This window comes from Homo sapiens, chromosome 21, assembly GCF_000001405.40.
Source record: "Homo sapiens chromosome 21, GRCh38.p14 Primary Assembly".
Classification (NCBI taxonomy): domain Eukaryota; kingdom Metazoa; phylum Chordata; class Mammalia; order Primates; family Hominidae; genus Homo; species Homo sapiens.
The window spans coordinates 17,492,337-17,514,996 of NC_000021.9; the positions used below are offsets into that span (position 1 = coordinate 17,492,337).

Consider the following 22,660-nt stretch of genomic DNA (forward strand, 5'->3'; position numbering starts at 1 on the left):
GTGTTTTTTTTTGTTTTGTTTTGTTTTTGTTTTTTACTGTAATTTAATCAGTCAAGAAATAGAAAAAAATTCAAGTATTTTCTAGCTTAATTTTCTGAAATACCTAGATGCCTCGAACCCTCAAATTAGAACTTCTAGTACATAAGCCATAGCTCCGATCTCCCACTGCTCACCTCTGGTGACGCAGGCACCACATGGGAACAACGTAGGCCAAACACTTTGCCACCACTTATTTTCCTTTAAGGGAGTGAGGAATTCTCCTTCAAGAGAGTGAGAAATTCTCCTTCACTTACTAACCACTAATTGGTCTCTGACAGGATTAGCAGGTCCTCTTGAGAAACAAAAACACAGAATTCTTGTATCTTCAAAGGTTGTTTTATGATATCTCCCTTAACCAGCACCTGATTTAAAAAAGGTTTTATCTATGCAGTTGAACCAGACTCCTGCCTGTCTAGCCCATGAGGGTATACCAGAACCCAGGGACCTAGTACCATAATCCCCACCAGTGGGTCATTAGGTGTTAAGATACAGCCAAGCCACAAACAATGTCCAGTGATTCCCAAGCCACCACACAGAGAACATCTGCATGCTGCAACAGGCAAGGCGTACGCCAGCCCAGAAATCTTACCAGTAAACCAAAAAGCCTCCTGCTTTACCTGGGCAGGTACAGTGGACTGTATTTACTGGTTTTATGATGCTGCCTTTGTTCCAAGGTCATGATGACATCATAGCACTTGCAGGTATTGTTTCCCAATAATGGTTCATTTTACTAGGTACTGGGAATCTTCCTCCCATGGCCATCCATACTACTATGCTACAAACTGATAACTGTTATTGCTTCTAGAGAAAGTCTAGGTGACTGACAGTCAGGCATAAGAAAAGATTTTTTCCTTTTTTTTTTTTTTTTAAAGTAGAGACAGGGTTTTGCCATGTTTCCCTGACTGGTCTGGAACTCCTGACCTCAAGTGATCCACCTGCCTTGGCCTCCCAAAGTGCTGGGATTACAGACGTCAGCCACTGTGCTCGGCTACAATTGTTTACTTTTAAATCCTCTACTGAAGTTGGAGCCACATAATTGCATCACCTACTCAAAAAAGAAATAAACTAAAATAACATAGAAGTTGTGCTATTCCCACAGAAATTTTAGATGGCCTTACCAGTATCAGAGCAGGGTTCACAATTTACACAATGATGAAAGATACTATTCTTCAGTCTCTAGGGCTTTCTCCGGCATAAAACTTTTCCAGTGATATTTTAGTTTTCTACCACCTGCCACGTGAACACCTGGGTCTCTCTCCTTCACACCTCTGAGGCCTGCTAAAAACGTCATCCATTCTTCCATCAAAAACAGTGTTTCAATGTAAACATGGAGTCTATCATTTGGATCTCATGATACCTTCTGTCCAGGGTTGATAATTCCTGGCTGGCCCCAAACACCCTGTACTCACCTTCTGTATTAGCCTGTTTTTGCATTGCTATAAAGAAATACCTGAGGCTGGGTAATTTATAAAGAAAGCTGGTTTATTCTGGCTTATGGCTCTGCAGGCTATTCAGGAAGCATGATGCCAGCATCTATTTCAGGTGAGGGTCCCAGGAAGCTTACAGTTATGGCCAAAGGTGAAGGCAGAGGTGGCACATCACATGGTGAGAGAGGGAGAAAGAGAGAGAGGAGGAACCAGGCTCCTTTAAACAACCAGCTCTCGCTTGAACTGAGTGAGAACTCACTTATTACCAAGGGAAGGGCATTAATCCATTCATGAGGGATCTTCCCCAACGATCCAATCACCTCCCACTAGGCCCCACCTTCAACACGGGCGATTACATCTCAACATGAACATGAGATTTGGAGGAGACAGACATCCAAACCATATCAACTTCTAATATGCTAAGACAAAGTACAATTTTTCCATAGATCAGCATAAATCCTCAAAGACACAGACTCTTTGCCACTTCAGGTGGAAATCCCAGTAAATTGAATACAAAGTCATGTACACATATGCATTTATAGGCTGGGTGCAGTGGCTCATGGCTGTAATCCTAGCACTTTGTGGGGCTGAGGTGGGCAGATCACTTGGGCCCAGGAGTTTGAGACCAGCCTAGGAAACAGGGCAAAACCTAATTTCTACAAAAAATACAAAAATTAGTTGGGTGTGGAGGCACATGCCTATAGTCCCGGCTACTCAGGAGGCTGAAGTGGGAGGATCGCCTGAGACCGGGAGGTCAAGGCTGCAGTGAGCCAAAATCATGCCACTGCACTCCAGCCCGGGGAACAGAGTGAGACTCTGTCTCAAGAGAACAAAACAAGACAACAACAATAGCAACAACAACATATATGCACTTATTTTTCTTAGTGAGAAGATTCTTTATCATTTTTTCCCAATCAATGACTGCCTAAGGATCTTTAGCTTTAATCAAATTCTCCAAGTGATTGATAGCCACCAAAAAAATTTAACCATATAGCAGATGCCATGTAGCAGTGCCTGGTCCATAACCATTCTGCATTCACTGTTCCCATTTTTCCTACGGGCAAGCACCAATGACTGACTGCCTGAGGACTTTCTTTAGCTGCAGGAGTGTGCTAGACCCCTAAGAGACAGATGGTGAAAATTTGGGAGTTCATACCTCCAGGAAAAGCCTTCAACCATTGACAGATGAAAGTTGGTGAATAAACACCCCAGCTCCTCACCCCTCCGATGGGACAACTCCAAGACCTACTCTATATAATCTTTCAGGATCTCCCATTAGGATTGACCCAATATCCACAAGGTCAACCTGCCACCAACATACCCTCTCTTGGCTTTTTTCCATGGTTGTTTTACTTCCCTATTTCCCTACTCGTGCTTGAGATCACCTTCTACTCTGCACCCAAATCTGTACCTTAGGGTCAGCTTCTGGGGAAAAGTTCTCAGCCCAAGTTAAATGACTATCCTATTGGTTCTCTTACAGATTATCCATTCTGGCTATCAACTGGTTCATCTGTACTTCAATCAATACTAAATTCACAATGTCTGCTGAGTCAGACCAGTTTTATATCCATCTTTGGAAATCTACCTGTATTTCACTGATCCCTTCTTTAATGGTAAATCAGACCCTACTTTGTATTTAAACTCACTATACTGTACACCAAACTAGAGGTAGCTTATAAAGAAAATACATTACTCTTCCTAACATTTTAGGTTTTTGTGCCCAGCATACCTTCTTAAAAAAAATTTCTGGAGCTCTTTGAGGCCTTGGGGAAAAAATAAAATGAATGAAAAAGGAGCTGACCTGCGATATCATGGAGGCTAAATATTTCACTAATTCTGTTTTGTTGAAGATTACAGTCTGATTTGGTTTATTTGTTTTTTGTTTTGGTTTGAGAGCTTTCCTTCTTTCTCCCTTTATTTGGCACTCATCCTTCTTAAGAGACTATTTGAGTTTTAGTAGCTGGACTCTGGGAACCGCAGGCATGTTGTTTGGCAGATGGATTTTTGCAGTTCTACAGACCAAACCTAATTATCCATTTTGAGTTGTCATCTGAGTTTCTGTTTGAGTTGCCAATGTTTGTCCATTGGATTTTTCTCCTGTCCATTAAGCAATTTTCTCGCATGATAGAGCATCTACACAAAAAGAATTTCAGGAAACCAGCAGCCATGTGTTGAGACCCATAGGGGAGCTGCTGAGATTATTCACACAAAGTCCATTTCTCTCCTTAAGCAAGGAAGCAGGAAATATATAATACTAGAATAAGGAACTCAGAAAAGATGTGGCCTAACACATCTACAAGACACAGTCTGGAAAATTCCTATCATGTTAACAGTCCAACATATGCGCTGAATGCATTTCTACTTGGTCAAGCCAGAGAATATTTAATCTCCATCTGAATAACATAAAAATGAAAATGCTATAAATTGCAACTACCTAAATATTTTTTGAATCAATACATATCAAATATGTTTAAGTGTTCTTTTCTCATTTTTCTTAAGTTTCTACAAAGGATCAACTGTCACCCGCACCCAGCATCTCCTGCCATATCTGAAGTTTGGGTGACTCACTGACCCAACAGAAATCAGTCTCCCTTTAGTGATACCCCCTATATTCCTTTCTTTTTTTCATTGCTTAGCAATAGCACTGCCAGGGAAATGGAAACAAACAAAAAAGGAGAAAATCAACCCCCGTTTATTTTTATGTACAATAAAGTTTTCATGAAAGTGAAATCATAATGCCTAATGGTGACAAGAATGCTTTTTAGTAATGAGAGACTTTGTAAACCTTTCAAGTGCTTTAAAAAACGATATATAATATTTGTACCTATTTTGGGGGTACTTGTGATATTTTGATACATGTATACTATGTGAAATCAAATTAGGGTAATTGGGGGTATCCATCACCTCAAATATATATCTTCTCTTTGTGTGGGGAACATAATAATTCTTCTAGCTATTTTGAAATGTACAATAAATTATGGTTAACTATAATTTCCCTATTCTACTATTGGATACTACAACTTATTCCATCTAACTGTACCTGTCAAGTGTTTTTGAATAAGAAACATTTAACTGACTTTTTTTTAAAGAGATGGGGTCTTGCTGTGTTGCGCGGGATGAATTTGAACTGAACTCCCTAGTAGCTGGGACTAAAGGCACATACTTTTGAGTTTGGCTTAACTGACTTTGAAAGCTATAAAAGTAGGGATAGGTAAGATCAGCTGAACAACATGTCCATTTGCATAATAGCAGAGTTCCTCCTTTATCAGAAATGTGCAAGTTTCCTTGTCCTTTAGAGTTTGAGTTGTGAGTTGAGATAATATGTTTTTGCTACCAGCAATCGTAAATTAAATCAACATACCTACAAATGGCTGTCCTAACAGGGAGTCATCTAGTATCCAAAGAACCACCATTCCCTGCCCACTCCTATTGCTCCTGGATACCCACGCCACTTCACCTTCCTTCTCTTCTTCATTACTGATTAGTAGAATGTGTGGCTGCTATCTTCCCAAACTCAATAATAAGGTCACCAAAGCTGCCAGGGATCTGTGGTTCCCAGGCATCCTATTCTTGCTGAATTACCACTCCTGCTACTCACTCCTTCAACCCTAATCAGGGTCCTTCACTCCAACTTTCCACTCCATTACTATCAGCCTCTGCCTAAGCTAGATACTTATCCTTTCCTGAAACATCTGCCAATTCTCTCTCTCACTTTGTAACATGAAAATGTAACCCTGTCTCCCTAAAACTACAAGCAGTATTAGTTCAACACCAAAGAATCTGCACTTTGCCCTTAAACCATCTATGCTCCTTTGTTAGGAAGGAGAATAAGGTTTGACTCCTAATTCTGTGTCTGAGCAAGAAAAGGTGCTTTTTTTTTATTTCATATTTTCTTTTATTTATTATTATTATACTTTAAGTTTTAGGGTACATGTGCACAATGTCCAGGTTAGTTACATATGTATACATGTGCCATGCTGGTGCGCTGCACCCACTAACTCATCATCTTGCATTACGTATATCTCCCAATGCCATCCCTCCCCACTCCCCCCACCGCACAACAGTCCCCAGAGTGTGATGTTCCCCTTCCTGTGTCCATGTGTTCTCATTGTTCAATTCCCACCTATGAGTGAGAATATGTGGTGTTTGGTTTTTTGTTCTTGTGATAGTTTGCTGAGAATGATGATTTCCAATTTCATCCATGTCCCTACAAAGGACATGAACTCATCATTTTTTATGGCTGCATAGTATTCCATGGTTTATATGTGCCACATTTTCTTAATCCAGTCTATCATTGTTGGACATTTGGGTTGGTTCCAAGTCTTTGCTATTGTGAATAATGCCGCAATAAACATACGTGTGCATGTGTCTTTATAGCAGCATGATTTATAATCCTTTGGGTATATACCTGGTAATGGGATGGCTGGGTCAAATGGTATTTCTAGTTCTAGATCCCTGAGGAATCGCCACACTGACTTCCACAATGGTTGAACTAGTTTACAGTCCCACCAACAGTGTAAAAGTGTTCCTGTTTCTCCACATCCTCTCCAGCACCTGTTGTTTCCTGATTTTTTAATGATTGCCATTCTAACTGGTGTGAGATGGTATCTCATTGTGGTTTTGATTTGCATTTCTCTGATGGCCAGTGATGGTGAGCATTTTTTCATGAAAGATGCTTTACTGGAGTACTGACTTGGCCTGGTGAATACAAGTCCTCCTAGAAACATTCTTATAAATATTTCACCACGCTCTGTCAAGAACACTGTAGGCTAAATGGGTGTTTGGAGGCTTCCTTGGTAAATTAACTACATTCATTTACAGCATAGCTGCTATGAGAAGATGCATTTAGTTTTACTTCCAATATGAAAAACAAACAAATTCCTCAAAGGAGTACAATCTAGGTTCCAAAATCTAGATCTCCAGCCAGGTCGGCTCTCTTTCTGGCATCTTCACTTGGATGTCCCTCGGGCATTGAAAACCTAACATTTGTATTCCACTAAACCTGCTTGTCCACTAACCCTATTCAATTAGCAGCACCTTTTTACATTGATTGCCAAATCTAGAAACCTGAAACAGCTTTGTTTCTTGTTCCTCACTGCCTATATCCAGCTGGGCTCAAATTTTGCTAGTCATCCCTCCAAAAATCTCCTAAGCCTCTCAGATTGCTGTAACAACTTGAGTTCAGACCCCACCAGTTTTTACTGTGACTTTAAAAACAATTTCTTCAATAATTTCCCTTTTGTTTTTTCTGCCCTCTTCAGATCCATCCTTGGCACTGCCTCTAGAGTTTTCTTTCCAAAACACAGACAGGATTATGATAGGCCCCTGTTTAAAAGGAAAGAAAAAAAAAAGCAAACTTAGATTGTTCTCTCTGCTAAATCAAAAAGCCTGACTTCAGAAGAAGAGGGATTCTTGCCCATTCTGTCAAATTTGAGCACCTGGGCAGTACAACAAGGATTTTGCTGGCAGCAATTCTCCAGGAGTCTCAGATGTGAGCCCCTCAATAAGGCCAGAGAATAGACAGCTCTAATGCATTCAGTCTTCTCTCTCTTCAGGTGCCCTAGAAAAATCTTCAGTGAGGACCCCCTCACCCAGAGCAAAAAAGATGCATGGAGAGGAGTCTGCCTCTTGGATTCAAGTGGGAACAGTTGCTACAGAAATAATCCCCTGGCTTTCCTGTCTAATCTCAGATTTCTAATAACCAGAGTTAAATTTTGTATTAATTGTGGTAGATCCCCTTAATCCCAGTTTTTCTGAGCTCTCCCCCTTTCACTACCTTCCTAATTTGTCTCTTATCTTACTCAAGTTTTAATGACTATATTTTAAGTTGTTAAGGCATTCTATAAATTTTCTGTTCAAGCAGATTTTAGAATAATTAGAATGCCAATCATTTTCTCCCTAATTATAATCCCAAGTTGAAGTTGCAGAATTTGGGTGCAAATTTTGAAAGAACACTCAACTGGGCGCAGTGGCTCACACCTGTAATCCCACTACTTTGAGAGGCCGAGGCTGGCGGATCACGAGGTCAGGAGTTCAAGACCAGCCTGGCCAATATGGTGAAACCCTGTTTCTACTAAAAATACAAAAATTAGCTGGATGTGGTGGGGAGCGCCTGTGGTCCCAGCTAAGGCAGGAGAATCACTTGAACCCGGGAGGTGAAGGTTGCAGTCAGCTGGGATCATGCCACTGCACTCCAGCCTGGGCAACAGAGCGAGACTCCATCTCAAAAAAAAAAAAAGAAAGAACACTGTTGGTTGGGCATGGTGGCTCATGCTTGTAATCTCAACACTGTGGGAGGCCAAAGTGGGAGGAGGATCACTTGAGGCCAGTAGTTCAAGACCAGCCTGGGAAACAAAGCCAGTACCTATCTCTCTCTCTCTCTTTGTTCTTTTAAAGAAAGAACACTCTTTCTAAAATCTAAATGCATTCAGTCAACAAATACGTTTGAGCCTATATTTAGTACTAAACTAGATGCTGGAGCTACAACAGTAAGGAAAAACCGACATGCACCCTGCCCTCACAGAGCCTACAGTTGGGTGAGTGGGATAGGCATGAATCAAACAATCAAACAAATAACACATTCAAGTTTGACACTGCAATTGTAGAAAGTGCTCTGAAGGGGAGGTGACCGGTGCTTTGAGAAATATAATGCAAATTATTATTATTTTTATTTTTTCAAATGAAAGGTCTCACATATTTATTACTGAACCCAGCCAACCAGCGCATTCACAATAGATTCAGAGAGGAAAAAAATATATTCCCAATAAAACATGACCAACTGTCCAGATAGTGGTGACATTTTCAGCTTGATATGGTAACATGGTCATGACCTTGAGACAGCATAAATACGTGTGCCATCTCGTATGCAGTTCCTTGCAGACCCAGCTTGGTTCTTCTCCAATATCTCCTCTTGGAGTTGTACCCGATTTTATTTCCAGTTTTCATCCGAATCTACTGTGGAATGGGATAATTTTGCTTTTGTTTCATTGCCAGGAATTAATCCTGAAAGCGTGAGAAAACATGGCGAAAAGTGGAGTCAAGCACACACCACAATGGCAAAGAAAGGAAGAGACAGCTGTAATACAAATTAAATCAAATGTAATCAGAGGGGTCCCTTAGGAAAGGATACTTGTTCTGAAATAGTAAGGATGACTAGGAGATACCCGCTTGAGAAGGTCAAGTATTCCAGGCAAAGGGAACAGCATCTGCAAAGGAAACAGCCACAGCAGGGACGGGGACATTGAGATGAACTTAGAGAGGCAGGTAAATGCAAACTCTTCAGTTAAGTATTATCTTTATCATAAATGCAACTGAAGTCCTTGAATCAATCCCTTCATGAGGAGGAAATGAGGGTGCCACTGGTTTCATTCTAATCAAAGGAAGGGGGACTTATTCTGAATTCCATCTCTGATTCCCAAAATATCTGGCTAGTGCTTTAATGTTTCCATGACTCTAGTTTCCTTACTTATAACAAGTTTACCTCAATGCTTGTCACCTCCAGTTTTATAAAGGTATTTTAAGGAACAATGAGTCATAATTGCTGAGTTCTTTGAACTCCTTGGATGAAAGATGTTATACTGCCTATAAACATAAAGCATTGTTATTATCTATCAGAAAAAAAGCTGTCCCCAGCCAAAAAGAAACCAGCAAAATACAAAGTATATGAGGCGCCACACACTTCTGTAATATTTAAATTTATAATCTGGGTATAAATTAAATGGGTTTGACATTGAGTTAAGCCCAGCATCTTTGATCTATACTGCCCACAGCACTATGCAAACATTGAGTTAAGCCCAGCATCTTTGATCTATAATGCCCACAGCGCTATGCAAACATTGAGTCATCTAATCTGAAAATGCTCTGGGGGTGTGTATGTCACAAACACCAGACATTATCATTCTTTCTTTGAATTTTTTTCCTAAAGCACACCACCAAAGCTAGTGTAAAATCTCAGAAAATGAACACAAATTAGTCGTTATTCTGCTAGTCTTCTTTCTTTTCATTCAAACGCCCAATCAAAAGCATCTCTACACCAAAATACAAACATGATCACAAAGATAAGGAAAAGCTTAAATAAAACAAGCAAAAGATTTTTATTCCTGGGTAAACATCTTATCTTTTTCTTATTTTTAGTACAGGGCAGGTTTGCTACTTTGTGAACTGTTTTGGCCTAAGAAGGAAAGTAGAGAAAAAGGACTAGAGATGAGGATACTATAAGAATGGGAACTTTGGCAAAAGAAGTGAAATGGAAACAGGGATGAGACGAAAATTTATATAGGTTCATTCCTTTTCTTTTTTTTTTTTTTTTTTGAGAGGAGTCTCGCTCTGTCGCCCAGGCTGGAGTGCAGTGGTGCGATCTTGGCTCACTGCAACTTCCGCCTCCCGGGTTCAAGCGATTCTCCTGTCTCAGCCTCCTGAGTAACTGGGATTACAGGTGCATGCCACCATGCCCAGCTAATTTTTGTAATTTTAGTACAGACGGGGTTTCACCATGTTGGCCGGGCTGGTCTCAAACTCCTAACCTCAGGTGATCCACTCACCTGAGCCTCCCAAAGTGCTGGAGTTACAGGAGTGAGCCACCACACCCAGTAGTTCACTCTTTTCTTTCCTTTCACTAATATAGCTTACAGTAGAGATGGAGGGAGGGTGAGACACTTAAAACCCAGGGCCAACTTATCCAGGGCCTGTGAAAATGTTTTAATTTCTTTTAAAATCAGAAGAAATAATGATATGATCCAGCCTGAATTAAATTTGTCTTTATACCAACACTGTTGTAAAAACAATTATTATTATTTTTAATGGTGGCAGGGGTTCACAAAGATGAAAGTACTTAAGGCCCCTGAAAGTCACAATGTGGCCCTGGAAATGCCCTTAGATATTTTGAGGAAAACTTGCTGAGGACATCCTTGACTATTTATTTATTCTACCTGGACACTAGAGAATTCCACAAAAGCAATTGAATACAATATTTGAGAAGTAATTCAATAAACTGAATGGAGGAAGCTAAGTAAAAACAGAACCTGGGCCGGGCGTGGTGGCTCACGCCTGTAATCCCAGCACTTTGGGAGGCTGAGGTGGGTGGATTGCCTGAGCTCAGGAGTTCCAGACCAGCCTGGCCAATATGGTGAAACCCCATCTCTACTAAAATACAAAATATCAGCTGGGCATGGCAGCAGGCCTGTAAGCCCAGCTACTTGAGAGGCTGAGGCATGAGAATTGCTTGAACCTAGGAGGCGGAGGTTGCAGTGAGCTGAGATCATGCCATTGCACTCCAGCCTGGGTGACAAAGTGAAACTCTGTCTCAAATAAACAAACAAACAAACAAACCCTGGGGGATTATCAGTAAAGGAAACTGTGGTTTAACTTCTCCATACAGCTTATGTACACGGCATGGGGTATATTCCCCTATTTACAAGGCTATTGAAGAGAGTCATGAACCTCATCTAAGAATTGGTAATTATAGGCCAGGTGCGGTGGCTCATGCATGTAATCCAGCACTTTGGGAGGCCGAGGTGGGTGGACCATCTGAGGTCAGGAGTTCAAGACCAGCCTGGCCAACATGGTGAGACCTCATCTCGATTAAAAATACAAAAAATCCCAGCTACTCAGGAGGCTGAGGTGAGAGAATTGCTTGAACCTGGGAGACAGAGGTTGCAATGAGCCAAGATAGTGCCACTGCACTCCAGCCTGGGCAACAGAGCGAGACTCTGTCTCAAAAAAAAAAGGGGGTCTCTTCTCTTGGCTTTGGAGCCCCCGCATCTGTCTCTGTACAAGGTAGCTTCTTCCTTTTTTCTTCTCCCTTCTTTCTTGCCGATTAAACTCTCCACTCCTTAATACCAAAAAAAAAAGAATTGGTAACTACAAGCCCTTCCTCATGCTAGTGTCTGATCAGAATTTACATTAACAATATAATCTATAACGTAGCACCAAGAGGGTATTTTAAACATTTTCCTGGAATAGGAGTGTCCCTAGGATCCTGTCAGAAGCTAATACAAATCCCCTCTCAAGAAAAACACTTAAGGCGGGGCGCAGTGACTCACGCCAGTAATCCCAGAACTTTGGGAGGCCGGGGCAGGTGGATCACCTGAGGTCAGGAGTTTGAGACCAGCCTGGCAACATGGTGACACCCCAGCTCTACTAAAACTACAAAACTAGCTTGGCGTGGTGGCACAAGCCTGTAATCCCAGCTACTCGAGAGGCTGAGGCAGGAGAATCGCTTGAACCTGGGAGGCAGAGGTTGCAGTGAGCCAAGATTGCGCCATTGCAATCCATCATGGGCAACAAGAGCGAAACTCCGTCTCAAAAAAAAAAAAAAAAAAACACTTAAAACCCTCAAACAATTCACACAGATAAAGCTCCATAAACATGAGTTTATAACAAAAAATCATCATAAAACACATGAAATAAGCCTAACATAAGCAAAAATGTACAAAAACAGCAGACAATAAAATGAGAGCTGGGCACAGTGGCACACACTTGTGGTCTCACCTACCTGGGAGGCTGAGGAGGGAGGACTGCTTGAGTCCAGGAGTTTTTTGAGACTGAATTTTGCTCTTGTTGCCCAGGCTGGAGTACAATGGCACATTCTTGGCTCACTACAACTTCCACCTCTTGGGTTCAAGTGATTCTCCTGCCTCAGTCTCCCGAGTAGCTGGGTTTACAGGCATGCACCACCACACCTGGCTAATTTTGTATATTTAGTAGAGACAGGGTTTCTCCATGTTGGCCAGGCTAGTCTCAAGCTCCTGAGCTCAGGTGATCCACCTGCCTCAGCCTCCCAAAGTGCTGGGATTACAGGCATGAATACTGTGCCTGGCCAAGTCCAGGAGTTTGAGTCTAGCCTGGGTAACATAGAGAGACCTTGTCTCCAAAAATTAATTAATTAATTAATTAAAGAAAAAAAAAACCAGCCAGGCATGGTGGCTCACGCCTGTTAATCCCAGCACTTTGGGAGGCTGAGGCAAGTGGATCACTTGAGGTTAGGAGTTTGAGACCAGCCTGGCCAACATGGTGAAACTCCATTTCTACAAAAAATACAAAAATTAGCCAGGCATGGTGGTGTGCACCTGTAGTCTCAGATACTCGGGAGGCTGAGGCAGGAGAATTGCTTGAACCCAGAAGGTGGACGTTGCAGTGAGCGGAGATTGCACCACTGCACTCCAGGTTGGGCAACAGAGTGAGACTCCATCTCAAAAAAAAAAAAAAGGAAAAGGAAAAAGAAAACAAACCAAAATGAGACACATAATGATTTCAGATCATGCAATTATTGCACACATAATATATAAGTATATTTAACATGTTTAAAGAAATGATAACTGGAAGTATGAGTAGGAATAAGCAACCAAGCAGATATATATTTTTAAAGCTTAAATATTATGAATAAAAATACACAACTTAAATAAAAACTCTTAAGGATAATTGAAAGTAGATTCAACACAACTGAAGAGCAAAGTTGTTAATAGGTAGATAAAACTGAAAAAAATCACCCAGAATTCAGCTCAGAATATCAAATACATGGAAAATATGAGACAATAAGATATAAAGGATAGGATGAGAAGGTATAACACTTATCTAAGTGGCACCCCAGAGGATGACAATAGAGAGATATGGGAAAAGCAACATTGAATAAGAATTTAAATATTGAGATTTTTCCAGAATTGAGGGATAACACAGATAGGTATTTTTAAACAAATAAAAACAAAGTTTGCTTTAAAAAGACCCTCTTAGGCCAGGCACTGTGGCTCCCACCTGTAATCCCAGCACCTTGGGAGGCCGAGGCAGGTGGATCACCTGAGGTCAGGAGTTCGAGACCAGCCTGGCTAATATGGTGAAATCACGTCTCTACTAAAAACATAAAAATTAGCCGGGCATGGTGGCCACCTGTAATCCCAGCTACCTGGGAGGCTGAGACTGAAGAATCGCTTGAACCTGGAAGGGGGAGGTTGCAGTGAGCCAAGACCACAGCATTGCACTCCAGCCTGGGCAACAAGAGTGAAATTCTGTCTGGAAAAAAAAAAAAAAAGTCCTCTTGGTGTAATCAAGTTGCCAAAACAAAAAATAAAAAAGATACTCAGTAATTTGTAAAGGACATACTTCTGGAAGAAGGAATTATCCCAGAAGTGGTTTGATATGCAAGAAGAAATGGTGAACAAAGACATGCAGACAAATCTAAAGGAACATTGACTCTATTGAGGACTAAACTCTGATTTTTTTTTTTTATCTTTCCCAAATTCTTATCTAAGGGGTCTGGGGAGTCATGGCCTAGAAATCATAAATTCTCATCAGATGGGTTTTATTTAACCCTATATATAGTGACTTACTTTCCAACCTGACTCTGGCATAACATTCAGAGACAAGGAAGAAAATCAAAATATTTTACCCCAAAACATGTTTCTTTGCCGTATCTTGAAAGCTGTCCTTTGTGGGGGAAAATTTGCATCTGTAAGGAATTTCTATTAACATAGCTAGTTCTTCTTCCTCTAGGACCTCCCAATCCTAAAGAGATTAACTGGCTGGGAGCGGTGGCTCACACCTTTAATCTCAGCACTTTGGGAGGCCCAGACCGCGGATCACAAGGTCAAGAGACTGAGACCATCCTGGCCAACGTGGTGAAACCCCGTCTCTACTAATAGTAAAATCCAAAAAAATTAGCCGGGCGTGGTGGCGGGCGCCTGTAATCCCAGCTACAGGGGAGGCTGAGTCAGGAGAATCGCTTGAACCCTGGAGGTGAAGCTTGCAGTGAGCCGAGATCGCGCCACTGCACTCCAGCGTGAGTGACAGAGCGAGACTCTATCTCAAAAAAAAAAAGAAAAGAAAAAGAAAATTTGAGACGGAGTCTGGCTCTGTCGCCCAGGCTGGAGTGCAGTGGCGCGATCCCGGCTCACTGCAAGCTCTGCCTCCCGGGTTCACGCCATTCTCCTGCCTCAGCCTCCCGAGTAGCTGGGACTACAGGCGCCCGCCACTACGCCTGGCTAATTTTTGCATTTTTAGTACAGACGGGGTTTCATTATGTTGGCCAGGCTGGTCTCAAACGCCTGACCTCAGGTGATCCGCCCGCCTCGGCCTCCCAAAGTGCTGGGATTACAGGCGTGAGCCACCGAACCCGGCCTAAATCTAGCACCTTTTAAAGATCTGGATAGGAAGCATTTGTTATCTATTGTCTCTAAGGGCACCCACTATAAGACTTCAAAAGAACCTTGGTCTCCACAATCTCTTATCTTAACCTGAACATTTCCTTTCTGTGATCTCGCGTCTTTAGATAAACTCAACCAATTGTCAACCAGGAAATGTTTAAATTTTCCTAGAGCCTGGAACCCCGCCCGACTTTGAGTTGCCCCGCCTTTCTGTACCAAATTAATGTATTTCTTACATGTATTTGATTGATGTCTCATGCCTCCCTAAAATGCATAAAACCAAGCTGTGCCCCGCCCACCTTCGGCATGTGTTCTCAGGACCTCCTGAGGGCCATGTCATGGGCCATGGTCACTCATATTTTGCTCAGAATAAATATCTTCAAATATTTTACAGAGTTTGACTATTACTGTCAACTATTAAAAAACAAGTCAATGTATAACTTAGAAGGTGGACAGGACAGAAACATTGGATTACACTATAAATTAGGAAAGGGATATGATAGGAGTTAAAACAGTCTAAGATCTATGATTATTCAGGAAAATAATAAAAATGTTCATTTTCTTTAGACTTTTAAATTTAAATATCCATGGGGGCATTTCATCCCAACTGAGGGCAGACTTCCGAAAAATAATGAAGAATTAAACACATGCATTTACCGTGATTCTTCCTGAAACCCTTATTAAAACCACATTAATAGAATTTAAAAGGTTTAAAAAAAAAAAAAAAAAAAGCCTGAAGGCAGAAAGACAAAGATAACAGGGTAGAAGACAATATCAACATTTTGGGAACTGGAAGGCAGATAGATGAGAGATACTGACTGAACACATTCCAGACAGCTGAATTCTAAACCAGCAGTAGTCAAAGTGAACCTTCCAAGAATTTCAGGATTTGATGGTATCAGGATATTTGAGAGTGAAGCGAAGGTGGGGCTAAAAACAGGGAGATTGGCTTAAGTTAGTTTAAAAAGAAGTTAAGCGGCCAGGCACAGTGGCTCACGCCTGTAATCCCAGGACTTTGGGAGGCCAAGGCGGGAGGATCATGAGGTCAAGTGATCGAGACCATCCTCGCCAATATGTTGAAACCCCCGTCTCTACTATAAACACAAAAATTAGCCAGGCGTGGTGGCGCACATTTGTAGTCCCAGCTATTTGGGAGGCTGAGGCAGGAGAATCGCTTGAACCCAGGAGGCAGAGGTCACAGTGAGCCGAGATCGCGCTACTGTACTCCAGCCTGGTGCAGAGTGAGACTCCGTCTCAAAAAAAAAAGTGTATGTATTTATACATTCATTGCTTGGGAGTAAACAGGTAACTTTTGGATGGTATTAACCCATAAAGCCAATGTTCCTGGTAATGTAAATAGAACACACTAGAAAGAAATTTTCATTTCTTTTTTTTTTGAGACAGAGTTTCGCTCTTGTTGCCCAGGCTGGAGTGCAATGGCGCGATCTCCACCCACCACCGCCTCCCAGGTTCAAGCGATTCTCCTGCCTTAGCCTCCCGAGTAGCTGGGATTACAGGCATGTGCCACCACACCCGGCTAATTTTGTATTTTTAGTAGAGATGGGGTTTCTCCATGTTAGTTAGGCTGATCTCGAACTCACGACCTCAGGTGATCTGCCCGCCTCGGCATCCCAAAGTGCTGGGATTACAGGCGTGAGCCACTGTGACTGGCGAAATCTTCATTTCTTAAGAACAGCATTATCATTTTTCAGAAAACAGAAAAATTAGCAGCAGTTTCACATATAATAGAAAGTTTCTTGGCCTGGCGCAGTGACTCACGCCTGTAATCCTAGCACTTTGGGAGGCTGAGGCAGGCAAATCACCTGAGGTCAGGGGTTTGAGACCAGTCTAGCCAACATGACGAAACCCCCATCTCTGCTAGAAATACAAAAATAGCCGGGTGTGGTGGTGCATGCCTGTAATCCCAGCTACACGTGAGGCTGAGGCAGAATTGCTTGAACCCGGGAGGCGAAGTTGCAGTGAGCCGAGATCATGCCACTGCACTCCAGCCTGGGTGACAGATGGAGATCCGTCCCAAAAAAAAAAAAAAAAAAAAGAGAGTTTCTTAATTCACATGTCTTCATATTCCAAGCTGAGAAGAGATGAAAATCCTTTAATTCTTAAGTATAAATTAACCTTTGAATATGATTGTAGGATTTTAATAATCTATGGGTGTGTTCATAGATCTATTAGTGCTGAGACATTTTTGTAAGGATGGATGCTTTATTAACCACAGTTATTTGTGTATCTGTAATTATAGCCTTGATGGAGCAAGGATCATCACCTTTAAGCTGGTTTAGAGGCTATATAATGTGGAGTGCTTGGTGCATTACTAAGACAGGGCAATTCACTTAATGGCTGTGCACTATTTCTTAGCTTGGTTTGAAGACAAAAAAGAATAATTTATATGTTCCAGAATAAATGAGATTATCTTATTATAGCTTCCAGAAGACATAATTTCCAAGCTGACAACAGCCACAAATGCATTTTAAGGTGTCTTTAATATATTTCACATAACTGCATAATTTTAGCTACTGTTTATGAAATAATTTAGTCACAAACCAAAGTCTAAAAATGACTTCATGTAACTTTTTAAAGAACAATACTTCCCCAAATAAGATCGACTGCTTCTTTCAAGATTATTTAAATCTTAGAATGGTACATTTTAAAAAAATCTGTGTTCAGTAATCTAAAGCAGCAGAAAAAAATTGATGTAAAACTTACGTTTTAAAAAACGCATTCTGGGCTGGGCACAGTGGCTCACGGCTGTAATCCCAGCACTTTGGGAGGCCAAGGTGGGCGATCACCTGAGGTCAGGAGATCTAGACCATCCTGGCTAACATGATGAAACCCTGTCTCTACTAAAAATACAAAAATTAGCCGGGTGTGGTGGAGTGCACCTGTAGTCCCTGCTACTCAGGAGGCTGAGGCAGGAGAATCGCTTGAATCCAGGAGGCCAAGGTTGCAGTGGGCGAGATCACGCCACTGCACTCCAGCCTGGGCGACAGAGCGAGATCCTGTCCCCCTCTCCCAAAAAAGCACATTCTGAAAAGATATATTTAAGGTGCAATGATTTGTTGTTGCACAGATACTTAAATTTTATTAACATATTGCCATAGAAAATAAGCATTCAATTCAACTTGAGAAATACTTGAGAACCTAGTATGTGCTTTCAGAAGTGACGAAGACAAAAAAAAAATGTGCTTTTTCAGCCTTCTAGAAGTATTTAGAACAAGAAAAGTGATTAATAGGTATGCAAATGCCTAACACAGAAGGAGGCAAAAGCTAAGAATTAGAAGAAAAAGTACCAGGAAAGGGATTAAGATAAAAATCCTTTTGGGTAGTTGTTGTTCCTCTTCCTCCTCCTCCTCCTTCCTCCTCCCTTCGTCCTCCCGGTCCTCCTCCCTCCTCCTCCTAAATCCTTTCGGGTAATTCCTCCCCCCCCCCTCCTCCTCCTAAATCCTTTTGGGTAATTCTTCCTCCTCCTCCTCCTCCTTTTCTTCTTCTTTCTGCTTCCTTCTCCTTCTTGGATCAAGGCTCTCTGCAACCTCTGCCTCCTGGGCTCACTTTATTAGCTCCACTTACTGAGATCCTGCTTACCGGGTTCCTGCACATAGTAAGTGGAAGATAACAAAACTAATATTGGATAATATTTGTCCTCCTACCTCAGCCTCCGGAGTAGCTGGGACTACAGGCACTGCGCGCCATCACATCCGGCTCATTTTTTATTTTTAGTAGATATGGGGGGTCTTGCCATGTTGCCCAGGCTGGTCTCGAACGCCTGGGCTCAGGCGATCGTCCACCTCTGCCTCCCAACATGCTGGGAGTTCGAGACCAGCCTGGCCCATATGGTGAAACCCCGTCTCTACTAAAAATACAAAAATTAGCCGGGCGTGGTGGCGCGCGCCTGTAGTCCCAGGTACTCGGGAAGCTGAAGCAGAAGAATCGCTTGAACCTTGGAGGCGGAGGTTGCAGTGAGCCGAGATGGGGTCACTGAACTCCAGCCTGGGCGACAGAGCGAGTATAGAAAAGTTCTCGTAGAACACTGTTAAACAGATGAACAACTTCAATACTTGCTCTTCTCTGCTTGATTTCATTTAGTGTGGTGAGTAAAAATTTAAATTCCAAATATTATTTACACGCAATTATATCCAGTAGAATTCCTGTTTGCTCAAATGGGAAGTCCCTAGCCGTTACTCATGTTGTCTTACGTCTGTATTGAACTCTTATTAGTTTGTAAAAGCTTTGGCAGAACTTTACAATCAGATGGTATGATTTTGCAAAGCCACTTCCTCTTACTACCACTGGTCATCTGTCATTTATTGGGCTGCCGTAAAGCAGGATTCCCCTTAAATCAAATTAAATTGGAATCACTTGAGTAAGGCTCAGGTACTAGTATATATATACATATATAGATAGATAGATAGATAGATATATTTTTTTTTTTTTTGAGACGGAGTCTCGCTGTGTCGCCCAGGCTGGAGTGCAGTGGCGCAATCTCGGCTCACTGCAAGCTCCCCCTCCCGGGGTTCACGCCATTCTCCTGCCTCAGCCTCCCGAGTCGCTGGGACTACAGGCGCCTGCAACCACGCCTGGCTAATTTTTTGTATTTTTAGTAGAGACAGGGTTTCACCGTGTTAGCCAGGATGGTCTCGATCTCCTGACCTCATGATCCGCCCGCCTGGGCCCCCAAAGTGCTGGGATTACAGGCGTGAGTCACCGCGCCCAGCCAGGCACTAGTATTTTTAAAACATTCTCCAAGTAATTTTCATGTGCAGCCAGAATTGCAACTCACCAGGCTAAACTGCAGTTGCGCAATTCTGGTCTTCTTGATACCTGATTTCTTTGCCCCTTCTCTTTTCTGGTTCAATGCATAATAAGAATTTTCCAATATTAGTTTTATTAGCTTCCACTTACTGAATTCTGCTTACGGGGGTTCCTGCTTAGTCTAGATAGTAAGCAGGAACTTACAAACTATGTAAGCTTATAGACTACATAAGCAGGAACCCTGTAAGCAAGAACTCAGTAAGTGGAAGCTAATTAAAACTACGTGCCAGGCAGGGTGCCAAGCATTTTTTGTGCATTATCTCATTTAACTTTCATAGCAACCCCGAAGTAGGTGCCATTTCTATGAAACCTGCCCAGTTACTGCCCCACTCCGCGGAATAAGCTCTTACCCACCGCTCCTCTTCTTCAATTCATTTCTGTTATGGAACTGTCGCGGCACTACAAAGTCTCTATGTAGTTATAAATAAACGTTATCTGGAAGAGCAGCCGACAACAACTTTCAAGATCTCCAATTCCCCGACCCCACACTCCAACTGACGCCTTCAACCACAACTACTGAGCCCCACTTTCAAAGCTCACTCACTAATATTGGATAATAGTTGTCTGCCTACCTCAGCCTCCGGAGTAGCTGGGACTATAGCGTCTTACTAGCCAGCTTCAGGGCTAGAATAGCCTTTCTGTGCAAGTGGAAAAAACCTCAGGTATTTCCCAAATCGGTAGCTGCAGAGGGGCTCTATCCCTACCAGAGATGGAGAAAAGCCCTCTCGCGCTTTTTATGTCAGCCAGAGCGGCTCGTTAAGAGAGCGAAGGCCAGGGGCTGCACAGGTCGCATCCCGTGAGCATGAGGTCAGAGAACCTGCCCCTGGGGCAAACCGCGAGGGGTGGGACGGGTGGGTGCAGGCGGGGCGGAGGGTAGGAGCCGCCCTAGTGGCGGCCCCTGGGAGTGTCCCGTGCCTCGCCTTAAAGGAGGGCGCCAACGCAATTTCAGTATGTGGGAGACGGGCTGCCCCACCCCCGCGCGCAAAACCCTGGTTTAGCTTAAGGGATGGAGGCGGGGACCCCTGCGCAGGCTTGCGGCGTGGGAGGCGGCCGCCCGCGACCTACGACGCCGCGCGCCGGGAGGCTGAGAGTTCGGCGCCGGGAGGGTCCCGGGGACAGAAGAGCGCCTCGCCCGGTTGCCAAGGCAACCCCACGCGGCTGGAGAAGCCGGCGCTCGCAGCCCGGCCCGGGCCGCTGCCGGAAGTGACGCGAGTTCACCTGCCGAGCGGGGGCTGGGAGGAGGGGCGGAGGGTGCAGAGGTGCCGCCGCCGCCGCGAGCCAGTCGGGAGCGCGCGAGGCGCGGGGAGCCTGGGACCAGGAGCGAGAGCCGCCTACCTGCAGCCGCCGCCCACGGCACGGCAGCCACCATGGCGCTCCTGCTGTGCTTCGTGCTCCTGTGCGGAGTAGTGGGTGAGTAGGGGCCATGGGGTCCTCAGCACCCGCCCAGCCCGGGGGCGCTCGCTGCCCGCGGCCACCCAGGAACAATGGGGCGTGGGGGAGGGGGCGGGCGCGATTTGGGGGCGCTGCTGCAGGGGCGGCGGGGCGGGCAGAATTGCACAGGGGCGCTTTTGCTGGGCCGGGCGCTCCTGGAGCCGTCCCGTAGGGAGCCGCGCAGGGCGCGCGGAGTGCCCGGGGACGGAGCCCTCGGCGGGGGGTGGAGGCGGAGGGGCTCGGGCGCGGCGTGTCGGGTGCGCCTCGCAGCTCTCCCATAGCATTCTCTGCCCCGGTGCGGGCTTGCCTTTCTTTGCTCTCGCCGTCTCCCTTGTCAGCCTTCGTGTCGGTTCTCTCCAGCGTTACCCGATTTCAAAAACCTTGGGCGGCGAGTTTTCAGGTGTCGAGTCGCCCAGGCGGGGAGGCTGAATTGCAAACGCCATTATTCAATGGACATGGAGCTGCCCGGTGCCTCGGATCGGCCAGGCTACCTCTAGGAAAGAGGCGCTGAGCGAACGCCAGCCTGGACGGTGTTAGTCTCCTGGAAGCAGCTCGCCCAGGCAGGAGCTGCTAACCAGACGCGCATTGTGAAGGAGACCGTGGAAAATCAAAAGTGGGTTCCTGCAAAAATGTAGCATTGGTTTCTGCAGTCCTTGGGCGAAGTGCAAAGGAGAATTCAGTGACCTCGTTTTTGAGTTTGTAATGAGTCGTTCATTTTGGAGATAAGACGGGCTGAGTTGTACAGGGTAATTGCTAGAGGATTTGCCAAGTGCGTTTGTCGACTGCTCCTTTCTCTGGGAGGGGAAAAAAGGCATGTGAAAAATGCGTGGACCATTAGGAGGCGTAATCATTTTGACACTTTAAAAAACGGATTTTCCATGTCGGTGTTTTAACCAACTGATCTTGTTTGTCAAACTAAGCACTTGCTGCGTTTTATAACCAAATAATTCATTTTTAAAAATCCGTAGGTGGGATCCTAGGAGGCGCACTTAGTATAGCCTCTGGAAGGGTAATTTTTTGTTGTTAGGTGCTCTGAAGCAGGATCTAGTGGCCCTTTCTGTTGGGATGGCTCTCTGCTTCCTGTTGAAATGTTAATTCCATTGTTGGATGCCACAGCTGTGAGCATTACTCATGGGATCAACATTCTATTAGCAAGTCTAATCTTCGATCTGAGCCTATAGCACTACCTCCACCTTTTTGATATATATCATTTAGACTTGGCGGGCTGAAATGTCCAAAGTAAGCCTTCCGGAGAAGATGAAGGGTCATAGAACCAGTTTACAGGTACATTCCCACCTTTCTTTCTTTTTTTTCTTTTTTTTGTCTAGGCCGAACCTGAAGATGAAGTTGAGAACACAGTGTGTTCTCTGGGAAAAAAAAAAAAAATAGTTTTAGACCACATCTAAAGCAGAAAAGTGGAAGAACATAAATTATGTGGAGGAACTTTTTTTTTTTTTTAAATGGAGTTTCGCTCTTGTTGCACAGGCTGGAGTGCAATGGCGTGATCTTGGCTCACCACAACCTCCGCCCCCCGCGTTTAAGCGATTCTCCTGCCTCAGCCTCCTGAGTAGCTGGGATTACAGGCACCCCCCACCATGCCCGGCTAACTTTTTTATTTTTAGTAGAAACCATGTTGGTCAGGCTGGTCTCAAACTCCCGACCTCAGGTGATCCGCCTCCCTCAGCCTCCCAGAGTCCTGGGATTACAAGCGTGAGCCACCATGCCTGGCAGGAACTAGTTGTTGTTGTTTTAACGGGAATATTTAGATAATTGGATTTAATTTTTTTTTTTTGGAATGCCTCA

At 43.7% G+C, this 22,660-nt stretch overlaps 1 protein-coding gene and 2 pseudogenes across 10 annotated transcripts in view, besides 2 other annotated features; 2 read left to right on the plus strand and 1 right to left on the minus strand.

Moving 5' to 3' along the window:
- Positions 8,144-8,537, minus strand: RPL39P40 (ribosomal protein L39 pseudogene 40; annotated as a pseudogene).
- Positions 14,117-14,392, plus strand: RN7SL163P (RNA, 7SL, cytoplasmic 163, pseudogene; annotated as a pseudogene).
- Positions 20,158-20,277: a silencer, noted in NCBI's record as "silent region_13221". NCBI's record gives its function as "represses an Ori minimal core promoter by ATAC-STARR-seq in GM12878 lymphoblastoid cells {active_cell/tissue: GM12878}" and the evidence as "EXISTENCE:reporter gene assay evidence [ECO:0000049][PMID:35858748]".
- Positions 20,338-20,877: a silencer, noted in NCBI's record as "silent region_13222". NCBI's record gives its function as "represses an Ori minimal core promoter by ATAC-STARR-seq in GM12878 lymphoblastoid cells {active_cell/tissue: GM12878}" and the evidence as "EXISTENCE:reporter gene assay evidence [ECO:0000049][PMID:35858748]".
- CXADR (CXADR cell adhesion molecule) overlaps positions 20,707-22,660 on the plus strand; it is a 123,220-nt gene continuing 121,266 nt past the window's right edge. For all 10 annotated transcript variants that reach the window (XR_001754814.2, XM_011529476.3, XM_011529478.3 and 7 more), the window contains exon 1: positions 20,707-20,836. Coding sequence is in view for 9 of the 10 variants with exons in the window: in XM_011529476.3 (XP_011527778.1) it covers positions 20,794-20,836 (43 nt within the window). In the remaining variant the exon portion in view is untranslated. The remainder of the gene's footprint in view (positions 20,837-22,660) is intronic.